An 18,982-nucleotide genomic window follows, 5' to 3' on the forward strand; every position below is an offset into this window, starting at 1 on the left:
GCAGGCCAGTGATGAGAAGGACTCCGTCCTTTGTGTGTATTTATGTGGGATGGTGGGGAGGGTGGGGATGATGGGAAGTGGAGTAACTGAGTAGCTGGGGGAAAAAAGACAACAGAGCTATTTTACAACTGTGCTATTCCCCCCAAACTTCACCAAATGCAGTTCATACATTCAGGATTTCTGTCCTTTGTGTTTATGTGTGTTAGGGGGTAGAGTAACTGAGAAGCTGGGAAAAAAAGACAACGGAACCACAACCACACTGTTGCCCACAAACTCTGCCAAATGCAGCCCATACATACATCATTATCCAATGCAGATTCATCATCACCCAAGAAGGCAATCTTGAAGTCTGTGCAGACAAGCCTCCCATAGACCCCATGCTGACAGGAATCTTCCTGGACATACTTCAGTACTGTGCTGGCTTCACAAAGCAGCTGTTCACCTGGTAGAAACCAAAACAGGTCCTCCTTAGAGTTCTCAGGGAACATACGATATGCAAACACTAAAGGCTTTCCAGCCCTATTTACATAAGGACAAACATACAATACAACACAGGGCTTTAGAACTTTACACTTTTCAGCATGGCAGGAGCTGCAAAAACATAAGAGAGAAGATGCGGCAGAGTGGAAACCACCAAGAAGTGAAATTGAAATGGCTCAGATACACCTCTGTGCAGGACATTTCTCTATCTTCTCACTGGGAATAATGGAAATTTCCAAATAGGTACTAATGATCTGAGCTGCACTTTCACGCAGAAATCTTAGTGTTTTCATTACTTTGACCCAAGCAGATGTTCCATAGAAGCAATACCCTAAGTGAACACAGATGGGCTTGCCCCAGTCTGCCCTAAAAAAACGCAGATCCCAAGCCCACTTTCCTGTGAGAGGGGGCAGCTTCTAATACTGGAAGTGCTGAGAGAGAGTGACAGTGCCTCCCTGGCCATGGGACTTCCAGGCAGCTTCCATAGATCCAGGAGGTGTTGCCGCCTTCCACAGCATGACCACCCTCGTTCTGGCTCCACGCTGGGAAAACAGAGGTCAGAGGTTTGTGGGGAAAAAACGTGTTTCCTCTCTTTCTTAGTTAAGCGTATTTCCTTTCAATGCGTCACCTCTCCTCCTCCATCTGCAGCACCCAGCCGACGTGAGAAGCTGCAGCCCCTGGAGACAGAAAGTATCCCTCCTTGCAGTCAAAAAGATGAGGATTAGGGAATAGGTCAGTATTCTCTGCCATCTGGAAGCAGAGGAGCTCACGGGGGCAGGCAAAAGAGAAGACTATGGGGGAAATGAAAAACTAAGTATAAATGTTTTGCAACAACAACAAAAAAAACCCAAAGGATTTTTCTTCTCATGCAACAGATAACCATCTTCTCCTTGGAATCTCCCACTTGATAGCTCCTTCAAGGTCTTTAAATTTACTTTTTGGCTCAAAATTTATTTAGTCTACCTTCAATATGAAAACGAACAGTTTCAGACACTCAGAAGGGACAAATATTATGGTGCTGTTCTCTCATCTTTCAAGGGGTTAATTACCTCTGGCTGAAACACTAAGGAAATACCGGAAGATGGCTCAGTCACTAGGTCAGCCTCTCAAGAGATCACAGTTTGAAGGAAATAATGAAGACAGGGCCTCATTAGGGTTTAAAATAGTCCCAGAAAAAGTGTCTCTGCCAAGTCCATGGGGGAAGACATGTAAGCAAGGCTTCCTGTGCTTTCACCTCCCAATACTTTTAATGGTGAAATACTTTTAATGGTGAGGCTCTCCCCAAGACCAGGCCAGCCCCGTCCCATGCTCATGTACTAGCGACCAGAAATTAGCATGCACTAGCTAATACAACATTCCTGGTGAGGCCCTCTGCAAACATGGCATGTTGTGCCATAATCAGCTGGTTTATACCAGATCACAGAGTCTAGAAGCACAAGAGTTGGGAGCTAGAAATGATCTTTGTCTAGTTTGTGAAACTAGGCTCAGAGAAGTTAACTGTGAACTCACCGCTGCACACCCACACCTAGATGAGACTGTGAAGTAATTCAGGAGGGGGGAGAATATGCATAATGCTAAGCTAAAAATAAAATTTCTGAATCTATAACACCAAGAAGAGAAAAACAAGAGGAGATAAGGTTTAAGTCATCACTATAGAAAAAAAGCCTTTGACATTTAAAAACATCAAAAAAAGTTATAGAATTCTTTTACCAAATAACGTGGATCAGTCAGAAACTTGCACAGATTTATATCCCCTCAATAAACTGGAATAAAATAAAAAGCAACAGAATAAAGCCTGTATTGTTTTGGGGAAATGTACCTTAAAGAACTTATTTTAAAAAAGCTATTTTGAATTAAGAAAAAGAAAGTAGAAAAAGAATTAAATACATGGATCACAGAATATCCCATATATGGAGAGGATACACCACCAAGTAGTTACTACTCCTGAACATGGAAATGACTAAAACTTAACTTAAGCTAAAGTCACTGTCCTCTACCTCAAAAATATTTAACCAATCCAGGCTCCTTCGCAATGACTGCAGGGCGAAGTGCTGGCAGCCCCAAGGCTGGTAAACCCCAGCATCCCCAGTACACGTGCTCACATGCACAAGTGGGTATGGACTGAGAGGTAAAGCCACCCACCAATGGTTGCCTTGGGAGGCCATAGCAGTTGAATTGTTTTCCTCAATTCCCTACAGATTGGGGATCAGCATACTGGAAGAGGCCATTAGAATGGCCTGAAAAAGTCCTCATTTGCTTGTGAAAGCAGTGAGAACATTCCAGGTTTATTTTCATCAGTTTGGGGGAAGAGGAAACAAGAAAAATTCTTTGCAGATGTTGTAATACTCAGACCCAGGTGTGTAGTTATTGAACTACAAACCTTGATATGTTTTTTCAATTCATTACTGTTATATGTGAGAAGATGAAAACAAAGGAGTTTAAATATAGCAAGGCTAGGGATGATGTAATTTATCATTGGCTTTGCCTTGCATAGGAGTTACTATGCTAACATGACAGTTACCTGGCAACAAGTGAAGAGTTACTTCCTTCTCTGTTACTTCCTTTTCGTTTGTGTGAATTTCCTAAAAGAGAAGAGCAAAGGATATTTTTCTTTGTTTAAGGGTTTAAAATGAATAACATTAAGCCATGCTTTCAGAATACACACTAAAATATCACATACCCTCAGGAGCTTTTCGTTTATGTTACAAGCTACTTTTTTTTTTTTTTTTTTTTTTTTTTTTTTTGAGATGGAGTCTCACTCTGTTGCCAGGCTGGAGTGCAGTGGCACGATCTCAGCTCACTGCAACCTCTGCCTCCCAGGTTCAAGTGATTCTCCTGTCTCAGCCTCCCAAGTAGCTGGGACTACAGGCGTGTGCCACCACGCCCAGCTAATTGTTTGTATTTTTAGTAGAGATGGGGTTTCACCTTGTTGGTCAGGATAGTCTTGATCTCTTGACCTTGTGATCTGCCCGCGTCAGCCTCCCAAAGTGCTGGGATTACAGGCGTGAGCCACCATGCCTGGCCCAAGCTAGATACTTTTTAAAAACAGGAAGTGTTCTAACTAAAGGAAGACAGAAAACTCCAAGTTATGGATATTTAATGTATTAAACTAATTATTTAGGACTGATAACTAGTAGCTGTCCCAAGTAGAGGGGGTGAGGTGGGCACTCCTTATCTCTCCTTATCTAAGGAACAACTTGAAGTGTCACATAGCAAAGCAAGGCTGCTCAAACACAGAATCTGAAATAAAAGAGATGGCCCAGCGTGGTGGCTCACACCTGTAATTCCAGCACTTTGGGTGGCCGAGATGGGCAGATAACTTGAGGTCAGGAGTTCGAAACCAGCCTGGCCAACATGGCAAAACCCCGTCTCTACTAAAAATACAAAAATTAGCCAGGCATGGTAGTGAGTGCCTGTAATCCCAGCTACTTGGGAGGCTAGGGCAGGAGAAACACTTTAATTCGGGAGGCAGAGGCTGCAGTGAGCCGAGATTATGCCACTGCACTCCAGCCTGGGTAACAGTGGGACTCTGTCTCAAAAAAAAAAGAAAAAGAAAGAAAGAAAAGAGACAACACGCCACAGCATGATCCCCTCTCCTTCCAGTGAGGATCAAGGGTTGAAAGCAAAAGATGATGTGTTCTTGAAAGAATATGGACACATAAATAAGGCCCAAAGGTAAGAATAGGAAAACATGAATGTATCAAGTCAGTATTGATCCAGCTAATCTACAGCACACCAGGGCTCAGTAAAGAGAGCTGGGACATTCTTTGTCCATTCAAAGTTACCTAAAACCACAAGACAGTGCCAAGGGATACAGTCATTTCTAACAGAGAATCAAGGCCAGTTTCTGGGTCACTGCTTCTCAGTAAAAATATATTCAAATGCCTCTACTTGGGGCTCAGTATTTATGGGATATTCAAAGATAATTAATTACAAACATGAATGAATGAATAGACCAAAGCAATGATCATATATGGCTGTTAACATAACAAAGAGAGGCACCATGGGCCTCCTAATAAAGTGTGCCACACCATCCAGGAAGTGTTCTTGCCAAAATATCTAACCTCAGTCTCCTTGAACTTCCACAGCAATCAGCCAATGTATCAGAAACACTGGGACAGAGAAACATGTCAAATAATACAGTGGGGATATAATCAGTCAAATTCTGACTGTGAAAAATTCTACAAGACACAACCAGTTTTGTCAACAAATAAAATCAGATTTTTTTTTTTCTTTGGTAGAAGGCCCTGGGTGGGAAATTTTCTGAATTTGTTAATTCAGACTGAAATATGGCATTAGAAGAAACTTGGGTACAGCCTATCTTGAGGCTGAAGAAGAATGTTAGGGCTTTTCCTGAGAACTCATTTTTGAGCATGGTATAAATTGGAGGTGACTAAGATGCCAGTAAACCAAGTCCCTCTGAGGCAGTGTGGTCAGATCACGTGGGAAGCTTGTTATCTAAACACTCTCTGGCACCCATAAGCCTGCGGACTTATAGTGCAGGGATGCAGGCTGGCTCTCTGATTTTGTAAAAAGCTCCCCAGATGATTCTGATGTACTGGTCTGGGGCTTAAGCAAGAGGAACTATTCCTGCATGTTAAAAGCTACGACTGTTTTGGTAATTTAAAAATTCTTGGCCAGGTGTGGTGGCTCACGCCTGTAATCCCAGCACTTTGGGAGGCCGAGGTGGACGGATCACCTGAGGTCAGGAGTTCCAGACCAGCCTGACCAACATGGAGAAACCCCGTCTCTACTAAAAATACAAAATTAGCCGGGGTGTTGGTGCATGCCTGTAATCCCAGCTACTCGGGAGGCTGAGGCAGGAGAATCACTTGAACCCGAGAGGCAGAGGTTGCAGTGAGCCGAGATTGTGCCTTTGCACTCCGGCCTGGGCAACAAGAGCGAAACTCTGTCTCAAAAAAAAAAAAAAAAAAAAAAAAAAAAAAAAAAAAAAAGTAAGTTATGGCTGGGCACAGCAACTCACACCTACAATCCCAACACTTTGGGAGGCCGAGGTGGGAGGACTGCTTGAGCCCAGGAATTTGAGACGGGCTTAGGAAACAGAGTGAGACTCATCTCTACAAAACAAACAAACAAAAAAATTAAAAAATCATCCAGGTATGGTAGTACACACCTGAAGTCCCAGGTACCTGGGAGGCTGAGGTGAAAAGATCACTTGAGGCCAGGAGGTCAAGGCTGCAGTGAGCCATGACTGCACCACTGCATTCCAGCCTGAGAAACAGAGCAAAACCGTGTCTCAAAAAAAAAAGTTACTAACCAAGGATCTGCAAGCTCCATTGAACTCAGAGCCTACATTCTTCGCTGCTATGTACCAATTCTAACAAACATGGTCTCCAGTTTCCCATTGCAAAAGAGAAAATCAATGTAGCATCCATTGCTTGTAAAGGAAACTCTTACCACAAAACTGATCAGAACAAATAAGAAAAATTCCGTTAGGAGAACTACTTCACATTCAAGGATCTGCCACACACAGCAGCATTCCCCAAACTTTTGGAGCTAGGTGTTGGTTTCACGGAAGACAATTTTTCCACGGACCTGGCAGGGGGGCAGGGGATGATTTTGGGATGAAACTGTTCTACCTCAGGTCATTAGACATTACTTAGATTCTCATAGGGAGCGTGCAACCTGGATCTCTTGCATGTGCAGTTCACAATAGGGTTCATGCTCCTATAAGAATCTAATGCCGCCACTGATCCCACAGGAGGTGGAACTCAGGAGGTAATCCTTGCTGCCCCCTACTCCTACATTCAACTCCTGCAGTGCTGGCACAGACTAGTACCAGTCCGCAGTCTAGGGGCTGGGGACATACAGGACAAAAGCACATGGATGTTAAAGTCAACTACCACTCTTGAGGACTTGCTGAGAGGCAGCCTGGTGGTATTTACTTCACTGGTTCTTGAAAAGTCAATTCTTTGGACTCTTACCAAGTTCACATTCAGAGTGCACATCATCTCAAATGTGTGATGATCCTGGGGCACCTTAGGAGAGGTAGAAAAAGGGTAGGGCCCTGCCAGAAAGATCTTGAAAAGAACTAGGGTGTGTGGGGGTACAATGAAGCTCTCATAGGTCAAAATGCTTATAAATGCTCCTATCAGCTTTAAATCAAAAACTGAAATTGTTGTTCTCAGATTAATTTTATCCAGCCAGAGGGACAAACTCTAAGAAGCAACATCTCTAAAGGTTCCAAAACAATTTCTTTCCATTGCATTTGACACAGTGCTAAAAGGACATAACACAGACATTTCATTTCCTAAAAGCTGCCCTACTTTTCTAGAATGAACACTTAATACTCATTTTTTTCCAGCTAAGTAGAAAATCTGAGGGAGAAAAATGAATTTGCATCTACATATTAGGTAGGTATCCATGTATATCTTAAAACAAAATTTTTTTAAGTAGAAAGTTGTATTTTTTATACAGCATAGTACTAATAATTTAAGTTTTTGTCTTTCTCTATGTTTCTCCAATATTTTCTCTGTGCATGTACTAAAAACAGAAAGAATACCGACCTGGGGCCACAGTCCAAATATGGCTCTGGCATCCACAGATGTGACTTTGGTCTTGTCATTTAAACTGACTGAGTGTCAGTTTCAGTTTCCTCCGATATACTAAAATGGAAACAATACTACCTAGTATGAGAGCTTTAAGAGATACATACATAACTTCGGTGACACAGGTACTTGGTCATGTAATTTGTTATAGTTGTTGGGGGTAGCAGGATCTGTGCTTCTGCTTGATTTCCTTTCATGAGTAAACAAAGAGTAGGGGAATTATTCAAGAATCTCTCGGCAGGGTGTGGTGGCTCACACCAGTAATCACAGCACTTTGGGAGGCTGAGGTGGGTGGATCACTTGAGGCCAGGAGTTTGAGAACAGCCTGGCCAACATGGTAAAACCACGTCTCTACTGAAAATACAAAAATTGGCAGGATGCGGCAGCATGTGCCTGTAATCCCAGCTACTCGGGAGGCTGAGGCACGAAAATAGCTTGAACCCGGGAGGTGGAGGTTGCAGTGAGCTGAGATCGTGCCACTGCACTCCAGCCTGGGCAACAGAAGGAGACTCTATCATTAAAAAAAAAAAAAAAACAAAAAAAACTGTTACATGAGACTAGTAACTTCTACTTTTCTCCCAATCTTGTTTCCCATATTAAACTAAATTGACTCTACTCAGGCTCACAATTCTTTTTTCTGTGGATCAGGAATTCCTGAAATTAGCAACACTGAAGTTGGCCCTAAATCTGTAAGACTTTAACTACATTAGGAATATCTGAAGCCAGGGTAAAGGAAATAGCATTTTTCTATTAATAGGATTTATCTTCTAGCAGCACACCATGATTTATGTCTGGTCATTATGCATCTTATCTTTTGCAATAGAAAGCACTTTGAACCCTCTGCAAGACCAAAAAAGTAGACCAATGGCTTTCTTAAGAAACCACATCTGGGCCGGGCGTGGTGGCTCATGCCTGTAATCCCAGCACTCTGGGAGGCTGGGGCGGGTGGATCACAAAGTCAGGAGTTCGAGACCAGCCTGACCAACGTGCTGAAACCCCGTCTCTACTGAAAATATAAAAATTAGCCAGGCATGGTGATGCATGCCTATAATCCCAGCTACTCAGGAGGCTGAGGCAGGAGAGTCACTTGAACCTGGGAGGTGGAGGCTGCAGTGAGCTGAGATCATACCATTGCACTCCAGCCTGGGAGACAGTGCGAGACTCCGTCTCAAAAAAAAAAAAAAGAGACCACATCCGAGAGGAAGGACCTGCTTGGGCATGCACACACAAAAAAGCTTTCTCAGCTACTAATTTTGTTGACAGTAGATCAAGTTGCTAAAAGGTGGTAACAAATTGAGAATAGAAACCTATATAACCACTGGAGCACTGGAATTTAAGGTGCCACACTGTACTCAATCATCACGAGCATCAGGCTGGGTGCGGTGGCTCATGCCTGTAATCCTGGCACTTTGGGAGGGCGAGGCGGACGGATCACGAGGTCAGGAGATCGAGATCATCCTGGCTAACATGGTGAAACCCCGTCTCTACTAAAAATACAAAAAATTAGCTGGTGAAACCCCGTCTCTACTAACAATACCAAAAATTAGCCAGGTGTGGTGGCGGGTGCCTGTAGTCCAGCTACTCTGGAGGCTGAGGCAGGAGAATGGCGTGAGCCCGGGAGGCGGGGCTTACAGTGAGCCGAGATTGTGCCACTGCACTCCAGCCTGGGCGACAGAGCAAGACTCCATCTAAAATAAATAAATAAATAAATAAATAAATAAATAAATAAATAAATAAAATAAAAAATAAAAATCATCATGAGTATCTAATCCTTTCTGGTTAACACTTCAAAAAAATTATAAATATACACTATGCAAGTCTTACAGATAATCAACTCAGGTAAAAAACAAATAACCATCATCACCACTATCAACTGCTTCCCCCCTCAAACAAAAATCCAAACCAGTCCCAAGAAGAGAAATAACCTAGAGGACTCCAAAAAATCAGGGTATACAAATAAGAATCATAAAGAAATCCTTGCCTCAAAAATAAGTTTAATTGGAGTTTTTCTTTGAATTTGATTTTCACAAGTTACCTGTTTGGGTGGGTAGGAAGGACGGAACGGAGAGTATTCACTGGCAATGTCTGTAGTCTCTTCATCCCTATATTTCACAATCGCTTTTTGAACTCCACAAGAAAAACAAAGAAAGAACTGACAAATATGGAGCTAATATATTTCAATATTCTTAAGAGAAAACGGATTTACCATTCTTTGCTTGTTGATCACAGGAGAATGAACATAGCTGAATGAAGGAGAGCAGAGGTGGATACCAACAAGGTACGAGAGCACCCGTATCTGGATGTGCTGAGTCCTACATGTGGATCTTGGAGTGGGTTCCCCTGAAATTCCCCTATGTGCATCCTACTCCTAACCATGCTGTATTCTGAATGTGTATAAGCTGTTGTTTTCATTGGCAAATTTGTTGGGTGAGTGATTAAAGGCTGTCCAAACTTTACAATTGAATGAGTAAATATAATCTCTTTCTTAGTGGCATTACAAATTACTACACTGTGACCAAGAGTCACTTGTGGACTGTAGACATCACAGATGTCCAATCTGTGAACGCCAAAGTCTACTGTTCCTTTTTCCAAAGTGGGTACAGGGCCAGCCCTTACTGAGGTTGAGAAGTGAATAATAACAAACATTTCTTGGGCTCTAAGTGCCAGCTACTGTCTAAAAAGCTTTGTATTTATTTATTAACTCATTTAATCCTCACAGCAAACCTTTGCAATAGAGTTATTATACCCATGATTGTCTCCATTTTACAGATGAAGACACCCTGCTAGTATGTGGCACAGGTGAAAGTCAAACCCTGTGCGCAGTCTGCGTTCCTGGCCCAGTCTGCATTCTTATTCAATGCCACACTGTCATGTGGAAAGAAGGAATGAAAGGAAAAAGGAAAAACAAGGCAGAATGATCAGTGAAGTACCTGCTAGATCCACCTGAAACCAGGTAAAAGCGAGCAACACAAAGTGACCAGGGAAAGCCTCGAATGAGAGTTATAGAGAGGCCAAGGGAAGCTAAAGGGAAAACAACAACAAAAGACACCTACACCCAACCTAAGTGACACTGGCCAGCTGCATGGAGAAGAACCTTGAGGCTCCTCAACACCTACTGAAAGTGTTACCTCTTATGACTCACTCCACTGGGTCCTCTGAGGCATGAGTCTCTAATTTTCAAGCCAACTGACTCAAGAGTTCAATGGGACTCCAGGAAAGGCTCTAACCATGAATAACACTGGTATGTATGCCTGAGCAATTCTTGCTTCCTTTCAAGAGTATATAATCTTGGCCAGGCGCGGTGGCTTATGCCTGTAATCACAGCACTGTTGGAGGCCAAGGTGGATGGACCGGATCACTTGAGCTTAAGAATTCGAGACTAGCCTGGGCAACATGGCCAAACCCCATTTCCACAAAAAAAAATTTTTTTTTTTTTTAATTAGCCAGGCATGGTGGCATGTGCCTGTAGTCCCAGTTACTCAGAAGGCTGGGGCGGGAGAATCACCTCAGCCTGGGAGGTCAAGGCTGCAGTGAGCTATGATTGCACCACTGTACTCCAGCCTGGGTGACAGAACAAGACCCTGTCTCAAAAAAAAAAAAAAAAAAAAAGAATAGAAAAGAAACAATAGCTAGGCTTAGCCACTAATATGGATGGCATCACCAAATGCTCTACTCATATTGCAATATACTGAAAAACGGAGGATTCCTCTAAAGCTTAATGGAAAGACTATTACTTGTGAAGCCTTTTCAGAGAGAGCAGTAGATAGGCCCAGCACATCCCAGGATCTAACAGCCAATTCAATCAGCATCCAGTGAGAGCTGCCTGTGTACTATCCCTATTCTTTGGGGTGGTGGGAGCTTCTTAAACCATAAACTAGTTTTACAGAAGGGTCTAGAGTTGCCCTTAAGCCTCTGCGCCTTTAACTCTGACACTCCCTACCAACTACCTAGTTAGTAGATGTTGACAACCTTACTTCTGCAGCTGTGAAACACGAGGTAACATTCCTCACTTATTCCACTAACTATCATGTTCAATGTGCAGCAAAAAGGTAGAAAAGGTATAGTTCTTTAATACTCAAGCAGAACTGGTTCTACTGGTTAGGCTGACAGACTTTTCTTAAAAAACTAACTCTGAAAATTATGGAAATTTTCAACAAATGCATCAGTTAAAAATGGTCTTTGTGCTTTGTATACCACCTCTTGCTGCTCCATTTGAATTTGAACAAAGCTTGCCATTATGGCACAAAGGAAAGGCAAAAACTGCTGGCACCAGGATCACAGCACGTCCAGGTTTTCTAAACTAGAATATCTCAGTGGGGCTTAAATTCAATTAGAACAGAAGCATGGGCCAGGCACAGTGGCTCACGCCTGTAATCCCAGCACTTTGGGAGGCCGAGGTAGGTGGATCACTTGAGGTCAGGAGTTTGAGACCAGCCTGGCCAACATGGTGAAACCCCGTCTCTACTAAAAATACAAAAATTAGCCGGGTGTGGTGGCACACACCAGTAATCCCAGCTACTTGGGAGGCTGAGGCAGGAGAATTCCTTGAACCTGGGAGACGGAGGTTGCAGTGAGCCAAGAATGTGCCACTGCACTTCAGCCTGGGTGACAGAGCGAGATTCCATTTCAAAAAAAAAAAAAAAAAGAGGGAACAGAAGCATGACAGCCTCAAGTGATCCTTCTGCCTTGGCCTCCCAAAGTGCTGGGATTATAGGTGTGAGCCCCCTGCCCCGCCACTGTTAATTCCTTACTTCAACATTTACTCCAATGTTATGGCTACTTTTTATTTGTTTATTTTATTTTTTAAAAAAAGATGAAGACATGAAAAATAAGTCTTCCAGTTTCCGCAAGTTTTCCCCTACAGTTCAAAAGAAACTGGCTACATCTGTTCTGGATCCCACTGCGAGTATCAGCAATTCCCAGAACCCACAGCTGTGTCTACCCCCACATTATCTAAGAACCTCACCCATGCTGAGCCAGAAGCACTCCCATTCTGGCAATGTCTAGGCCAGACAAGAGATGAGAATTTGAGAACTGCCACCCATTCTTTAGCAAGCTTATGGCCCAAAGGAGACACACCTGCTGGAACCCATATCACACAGCTGGTCTAGCATCAAAAAAGTTGCCAACCTAATCGCTTCTCAGAACTATGTTTCTGAGGAGTGGCCCAAAATCACAGGTCTCCAATGGGCCTGAGTCAATATTTAAGTTGTGTATCTGGTTACTCAGAGTTGCAAAATGACCCATCTCTAATATATACCAATTCATTTCAACAAATAGCTCCTGAACATGTTAAGTACCAAACGCTAAGGATAAAATGATGAATAAGGCCAGGCACAGTGGCTCATGTCTATAATCCCAGCACTCTGGGAGGCCCAAGGCAAGTGGTTCACTTGAGCCCAAGTTCGAGACAAGCTTGGGCAACATGACGAAGCCCTGTTTCTATAAAAAATATAAAAATTAGCAGGGCATGGTGGCATGTACCTGTAGTCCCAGCTACTCAGGAGGCTGAGGTAGGTGGATCACCTTGAACCTCAGGAGGTGGAGGCTGCAGTGAGCTGTGATTATGCCACTGCACTCCAGTGTGGGTGACAGTAAGATTCTGTCTCCAAAAAATAAATAATAAAATGATGAATAAGAATTGACTTTTATTAGCCAGGCGTGGTGGCATGCACTTATCCCAGCTACTCAGGAGGCTGACATGGGAGGATTGGTTGAAAGTTGAGGCTGCAGGGAGCCATGACTGTGCCACTGTACTCCAGCCTGGGCGACAAAGTGAGACCCTGTCTCAAAAAAAAAAAAGGATTGACTTTTGCCCTCACGAAATTCAGATGACAAAAAATAACTAGAATACTAAGTAATGAGTGCTGTAAGTACCAGAAGGCTACAAAAGATTCTGTCTCTACACATCATCTCATTTATTATTCAGAGCTTAGTTAACTACTATTATTGTTTCATTTTAGAGATGAGGAAAATGAGAGTAAGCCAGGTTAAAAGAAATGGGTCTCAAGCCTTTACCTGAAAGGCTTTACCTGACAAGGGTTTATCTGACGAGGGTTGTACTCTCAACCACAATCCAACCTGCCTCCCCTGGCCGACCATGCCTCCTCCTTCTGGGCACTGCTCCTCTCGAGTTCACATGCTCTTTTATTCACTGAATGATCATCTCTTATGCACCTGCTCTCTTCCACGCACAGCAAACACAGGAATGAACACAACACACAGCACCTAAGTCCTCAGAGAACACAGGAGTCTGACAGCCTTGGTAGAAATGTGCTATATGTTAGAGGAAATACAGGGTACAATGGGAACACTTAGAAACACTGAACTGCATTCAGAAAGGGTCAAAGAAGACTGCTGCACTCAGCAAGTGTTATTTATACTGAGACCTGAAAATGAGCAGAAATTAGTTCCAGGCAGAATGGCCATGTGATGGTTAATACTGAGTGTCAACTTGATTAAAGGATGCAAAATATTGATCTTGGGTGTGGCTGTGAGTGTTGCCAAAGGAGATTAACATTTGAGTCAGTGGGCTGGGAAAGGCAGACCCAGCCTTAATCTGGTGGACCAATCTAATCAGCTACCAGTGAATATAAGGCAGGCAGAAAAACATGAAAAGGTGAGACTGGCCTAGCCTCGCAGCCTACATCTTTCTCCTGTGCTGGATGTTTCCTGGCCTCAAACATCAGACTCCAAGTTCTTCAGTTTTGAGACTTTGACAGGCTCTCCTTGCTCCTCAAGCTTGCAGACAGACTACTGTGGGAACTTGTGATCATGTAATTTAATATTTAATAAACTCCCCTTTATATATATACACATACATACATACATCCTGTTAGTTCTGTCCATCTAGGAACCCTAATACGGATTTTGGTACCAGGAGTGGTTCTAGAGGAACAGAATAGTAAGGATGGCATTCTTTCATTTGTCGTGGGGTTTCTGGAGTTGGCTGCTTAATATGATTAGACCCAAAAATGCTAAGGCCTCCACTGATAATGGAAGTAGAGAACACTGATAGTCCTTGGCATGAACTGTTTAGAAAGTTATGCAAAACAAACACATTTGACACTCCTGATTCATCGCTCATGAGAGGCAAGGAGTTTAGTGACTCTATACATAATACCTTTGACCATATGTGGAGAACCAAGGGACATAATGAAGCTGGTTGGTTGCTCCTAAGTTCAGTGGACAAAGTGATGAATGAAAATGACGAACTCAGGGATTCTACCTCCTGGGTAGAATCTCCCTTCAGAAGCAGACACCGAGCCTCAAATCTGCTAAGACTGTCCTGAGTGAGAGTCTTATCTCTGGCAGAGAAAGAGCTGAAATTGTGGAAAAACAGATACAAGCTCTTATCATGTGAGTGGCTGACCTGCAACAAAAGGTGCATGCACAGCCTCGCCAGGTGTCTTTTGTTAAAGTGAAGGCATTCATGGGAAAAGAATGGGACCCTGCAACTTGGAATGGGAACGTGTGGGAGGACCCTGATGAAGCTGGGGACACTGAGCTTGTAAACTCTGATGAACTTTTTTTGCCAGAAGGAACAGCTTCCCCATCCCCAGTAGTGGCAACATCCCCTCCCTAACCCATACTGCCATCAGCCTTTCCACCTTTGTCTGAGATAAACTCTGCACTGCCTGAGGCAACACTGATGGCCTCCCCTGAGGCAGCTGCCAGGCAAGATAATGTTGATTCTCCTCAGGAGTCACCCCCAACACCCCTGTTTGCTTCTAGACCTATAACTGGACTAAAGTCCCAGCAGGTGAGGTGAGGTTGAGACTGTGGCACGTGATGAGGTGCGCTACACTTGAAAAGAACTGCTTGAGTTCTCTAATTTATATAAACAGAAATCTGGAGAATAGGCATGGGAATGGATATTAAGGGTATAGGATAATGGTAGAAGGAACATAGAGTTGGATCAGGCTAAATTTATTGATTTGAGCCCACTAAGTAGGGACTCTGCTTTTAATGTTGCAGCTCGGGGAGTTAAAAAAGGTTCTAATAGTTTATGTGCTTGGTTAGCTGAAATATGGATTAAAAGATGGCCCACTATGAGTGAGCTGGAAATGCCTGATCTCCCTTGGTTTAATGTAGAGTAAGGGATCCAAAGGCTTAGGGAGATTGGGATGGTGGAGTGGATTAGGCACTTTAGACCTACTCATCCCAGCTGGGAGGGTCCAGAAGATATATCCTTGACCAATGCTTTGCAAAACAGATTTGTGAGGGCAGCATCTGCATCTTTGAAGAGCCCTGTAATTGCTTGTCTCTGTATGTCAAATCTAACAGTGGGAACTGCAATCACTCAACTACAAAATTTAAATACAATGGGAATAACTGGATCCCTAGGTGGCAGGGGCCAAGTGGCGGCACTCAACTGTCAAAGACAAGGTGTTCGTAGCTACTGTAATGGATGGTAGAGACAAAGCAGCAATCAGAATAGTCTGACTCACGTAGAGCTCTGGCATTGGCTAATTAATCATGCTGTTCCTAGAAGTGAAACTGATAGGAAGCCTACTGCATTCCTACTTAATTTATATAAACAGAAAACTTCCAGGTCTAATGCACAAAAGACTAGTTTGAATTATAAAAACAGAGAATCACGGCCCCTCAATCAATTTCCAGACTTGAGCCAGTTTACAGACCCAGAACCCCTTGAAGGAAGGGGAGGCCGGGTCCCCTTGAGGAAGGACCCCACCACATTACCAACAATTTACGCAGTGGATCTTTCTCTCATCCTTCCCCAAGGAGACCTCTGACATTCTACCAGGGTAAGTGTGCACTGGGGAAAGGGAAATGATCAGACATTTGGACTAATGGACACTGGTTCTGAGCTGACAATGATTCCGGGGTACCCAAAGTGTCACTGTGGTCCTCCAGTTAAAGTAGGGGCTTATGGAGGTCAGGTAATTAATGCAGTTTTAGCTCAGGTCTGACTTACAGTGGGTCCAGTGGGCCCCCAGACTCATCCTGTTATTTCCCCAGTGGCAGAATGCATAATTGGCATAGACATACTTAGCAACTGGCAGAACCCCCACATTCGTTCCCTAACTGGTAGGGTGAGGGCTATTATGGTGGAAAAGGCTAAACAGAAGCCGTTAGAGCTGCCTCTACCTAGAAAAATAGTAAATCGAAAACAGTATCACAACCCTGGAGGGACTGCAGAGATTAATGCCACCATCAAGGACTTGAAAGACGCAGGGGTAGTGATTCCCACATCCCTGTTCAACTCTCCTATTTGGCCTGTGCAGAAGATGGATCTTGCAGAATGACAGTGGATTCTCATAAGCCTAACCAAGAGGTGACTCCAGTTGCAGCTGCTGTACCAAATGTGGTTTCATTGCTTTAGCAAATTAACACATCTCCTGGTACCTGGTATACAGCCATTGACTTGGCAAATGGCTTTTTCTCCATTCCTGTCCATGAGGCCCACCAGAAGCAATTTGCCTTCAGCTGGCAAGACCAACAATATACCTTCACTGTCCTACCTCAGGGACATATCAACTCTCTGGCTTTGTGTCATAATCTTATTTGAAGAGACCTTGATCGCTTTTTGCTTCCACAAGGTATCACACTGGTCCATTACATTGATGACATTATCCAAGAAGTAACAAACACAATGGACTTATTGGTGAGACATTTTCATGTCAGAGGATGGGAACTAAATCCAACTAAAATTTAGGGAACTTCTACCTCAGTAAAATTTTTAGGGGTTCGGTGGTGTGCGGCCTGTTGAGATACTCCTTCTAAGATGAAGGATAAGTTGCTACATTTGGCCCCTCCTACAACCAAGAAAGAGGCACAATGCCTAGTGGGCCTATTTGGATTTTGGAGGCAACATATTCTTCGTTTGAGTGTGTTACTCCAGCCCATTTATTGAGTGACCCATTTATTGAGTGGGGTCCAGAAAAGGAGATGGCTCTGTAACAAGTCCAGGCTGCTTTGCAAGCTGCTCTGCCACTTGGGCCACAAAACCTAGCTGATCCAATAGTGCTTGAGGTGTCAGTGGCAGATAGGGATGCCATTTGGAGCCTTTGGCAGGCCCCCATAGGTGAATCACAGTGGAGGCCTCCAGGATTTTGGAGCAAGGCCCTGCCATCTTCTGCAGATAACGACTCTCCTTTTGAAAGACAGCTCTTGGCCCGTTACTGGGCTTTGGTAGAAACTGAATGTTTGACTATGGGTCAAGTCACCATGCGACCTGAACTGCCCATCATGAATTGGGCACTTTCTGACCATCTAGCCATACAGTGGGTCGTGCACAGCAACATTCCATCATCAAATGGAAGTGGTATACACATGACTGGGCTCGAGCAGATCTTGAAGGCACAAGTTACATGAGGAAGTGGCTCAAATGCCCATGGTCTCCACACCTGCCACCGTACCTTCTGTTCCCCAGCCTGCACCGATGACCTCATGGGGAGTTCCCTATGATCAGATGACAGGAAGAGAAAACTAGGGCCTGGTTCACAGATGGTTCTGCAAGACATGCAGGCACCACCAAAAGTGGACAGCTGTAGCACTACAGATCCTTTCTAGGACATCCCTGAAGGACAGCAGTGAAGGGAAACCTTCCCAGTGGGCAGAACTTTGAGCAGTGCACCTGGTTGTGCATTTTGCATGGAAAGAGAAATGGCCAGATGTCCGATTATATACTGATTCATAGGCTGTAGCCAATGGTTTGGCTGGATGTTCAGGGACTTGGAAGAAGCATGATTGGAAAATTGGTGACAAAGAAATTTGGGGAAGAGTTATATGGATGGTCCTCTCTGAGTGGTCAAAAACTGTGAAGATATTTATATCTTCATGTGAGTGCTCAGCAATGGGTGACCTCAGCAGAGGAGCATTTTAATAATCAAGTAGATAGGGTGACCCGTTCTGTGGACACCACTCAGACTCTTCCCCCAGCCACCTCTGTCATCACACAATGGGCCCATAAACGAAATGGCCATGGTGGCAGGGATGGAGGTTACGCATCAGCTCAGCAACATGGACTTCCACTCACCAAGGCTGACCTGGCTACGGCCACTGTTGAGTGCCCAGTTTGCCAGCAGCAGTGACCAACACTGAGCCCTCGATATGGCACCATTCCTCAGGGCGATCAGCCAGCTACCTGGTGGCTGGTTGATTATATTGGACCTCTTCTATCATTGAAAGGGCAGAGGTTTGTCTTCACTGCAATACACACTCTGGATATGGGTTTGCCTATCCTGCACACAATGCTTCTGCCAAGACTACCATCCATGGACTCACGGAATGCCTTATCCACCATCATGGTATTCCACACAGCATTGCCTCTGACCAAGGCACTCTCTTTGCGGCTAAAGAAGTGCGGCAGTGGGTTCGTACTCATGGAATTCACTGGTCTTACCATGTTCCCTATCATCCTGAAGCAGCTGGATTGACAGAATGGTGTAATAGCCTTTTGAAGTCACAATTACAATGCCAGCTAGGTGACAATAATTTGCAGGGCTGGGGCAAAGTTCTCTAGAAGGCCATGTATGCTCTGAATCAGCGTTCAATACATGGTACTGTTTCTCCCATAGCCAGGATTCACGGGTCCAGGAATTAAAGGGTGGAAGTGGAAGTGGCACCACTCACCATCACCCCTAGTGATCCACTAGCAAAATTTTTGCCTCCTGTTCCTGCAACATTATCTTCTGCTGGTCTAGAGGTCTTAGTTCCAGAGGGAGGAACGCTGCCACCAGGAGACACAACAATTCCATTAAACTGGAAGTTAAGATTGCTACCCGGACACTTTGGGCCCCTCCTACCTTTAAGTCAATAGGCTAAGAAGGGAGTTACAGTGTTGGCCGGGGTGACTGACCTGGACTATCAAAATGAAAACAGTCTACTCTCCATAATGGAGGTAAGGAAGAGTATGCATGGAATACAGGAGATCCATTAGGGCGTCTCTTAGTATTACCATGCCCTGC

At 44.0% G+C, this 18,982-nt stretch overlaps 1 protein-coding gene across 3 annotated transcripts in view, besides 3 other annotated features; it reads right to left on the bottom strand.

Annotated features, from left to right (window-relative positions):
- The window catches only part of MTMR12 (myotubularin related protein 12), an 85,933-nt gene that overhangs the window by 46,674 nt on the left and 20,277 nt on the right, over window positions 1-18,982 (bottom strand). For all 3 annotated transcript variants that reach the window (NM_001294344.2, NM_001294343.2, NM_001040446.3), the window contains exons 2-3: window positions 3,002-3,062; window positions 300-442 (exon numbers count right to left, since the gene is read on the bottom strand). In NM_001294344.2, coding sequence (NP_001281273.1) covers window positions 300-442; window positions 3,002-3,062 — 204 coding nt within the window. The remainder of the gene's footprint in view (window positions 1-299; window positions 443-3,001; window positions 3,063-18,982) is intronic.
- Window positions 6,986-7,035: an enhancer, noted in NCBI's record as "active region_22439". NCBI's record gives its function as "activates an Ori minimal core promoter by ATAC-STARR-seq in GM12878 lymphoblastoid cells {active_cell/tissue: GM12878}" and the evidence as "EXISTENCE:reporter gene assay evidence [ECO:0000049][PMID:35858748]".
- Window positions 7,056-7,165: an enhancer, noted in NCBI's record as "active region_22440". NCBI's record gives its function as "activates an Ori minimal core promoter by ATAC-STARR-seq in GM12878 lymphoblastoid cells {active_cell/tissue: GM12878}" and the evidence as "EXISTENCE:reporter gene assay evidence [ECO:0000049][PMID:35858748]".
- Window positions 17,394-17,613: an enhancer, noted in NCBI's record as "active region_22441". NCBI's record gives its function as "activates an Ori minimal core promoter by ATAC-STARR-seq in GM12878 lymphoblastoid cells {active_cell/tissue: GM12878}" and the evidence as "EXISTENCE:reporter gene assay evidence [ECO:0000049][PMID:35858748]".

This window comes from Homo sapiens, chromosome 5 (assembly GCF_000001405.40).
Source record: "Homo sapiens chromosome 5, GRCh38.p14 Primary Assembly".
Classification (NCBI taxonomy): Eukaryota; Metazoa; Chordata; class Mammalia; order Primates; family Hominidae; genus Homo; species Homo sapiens.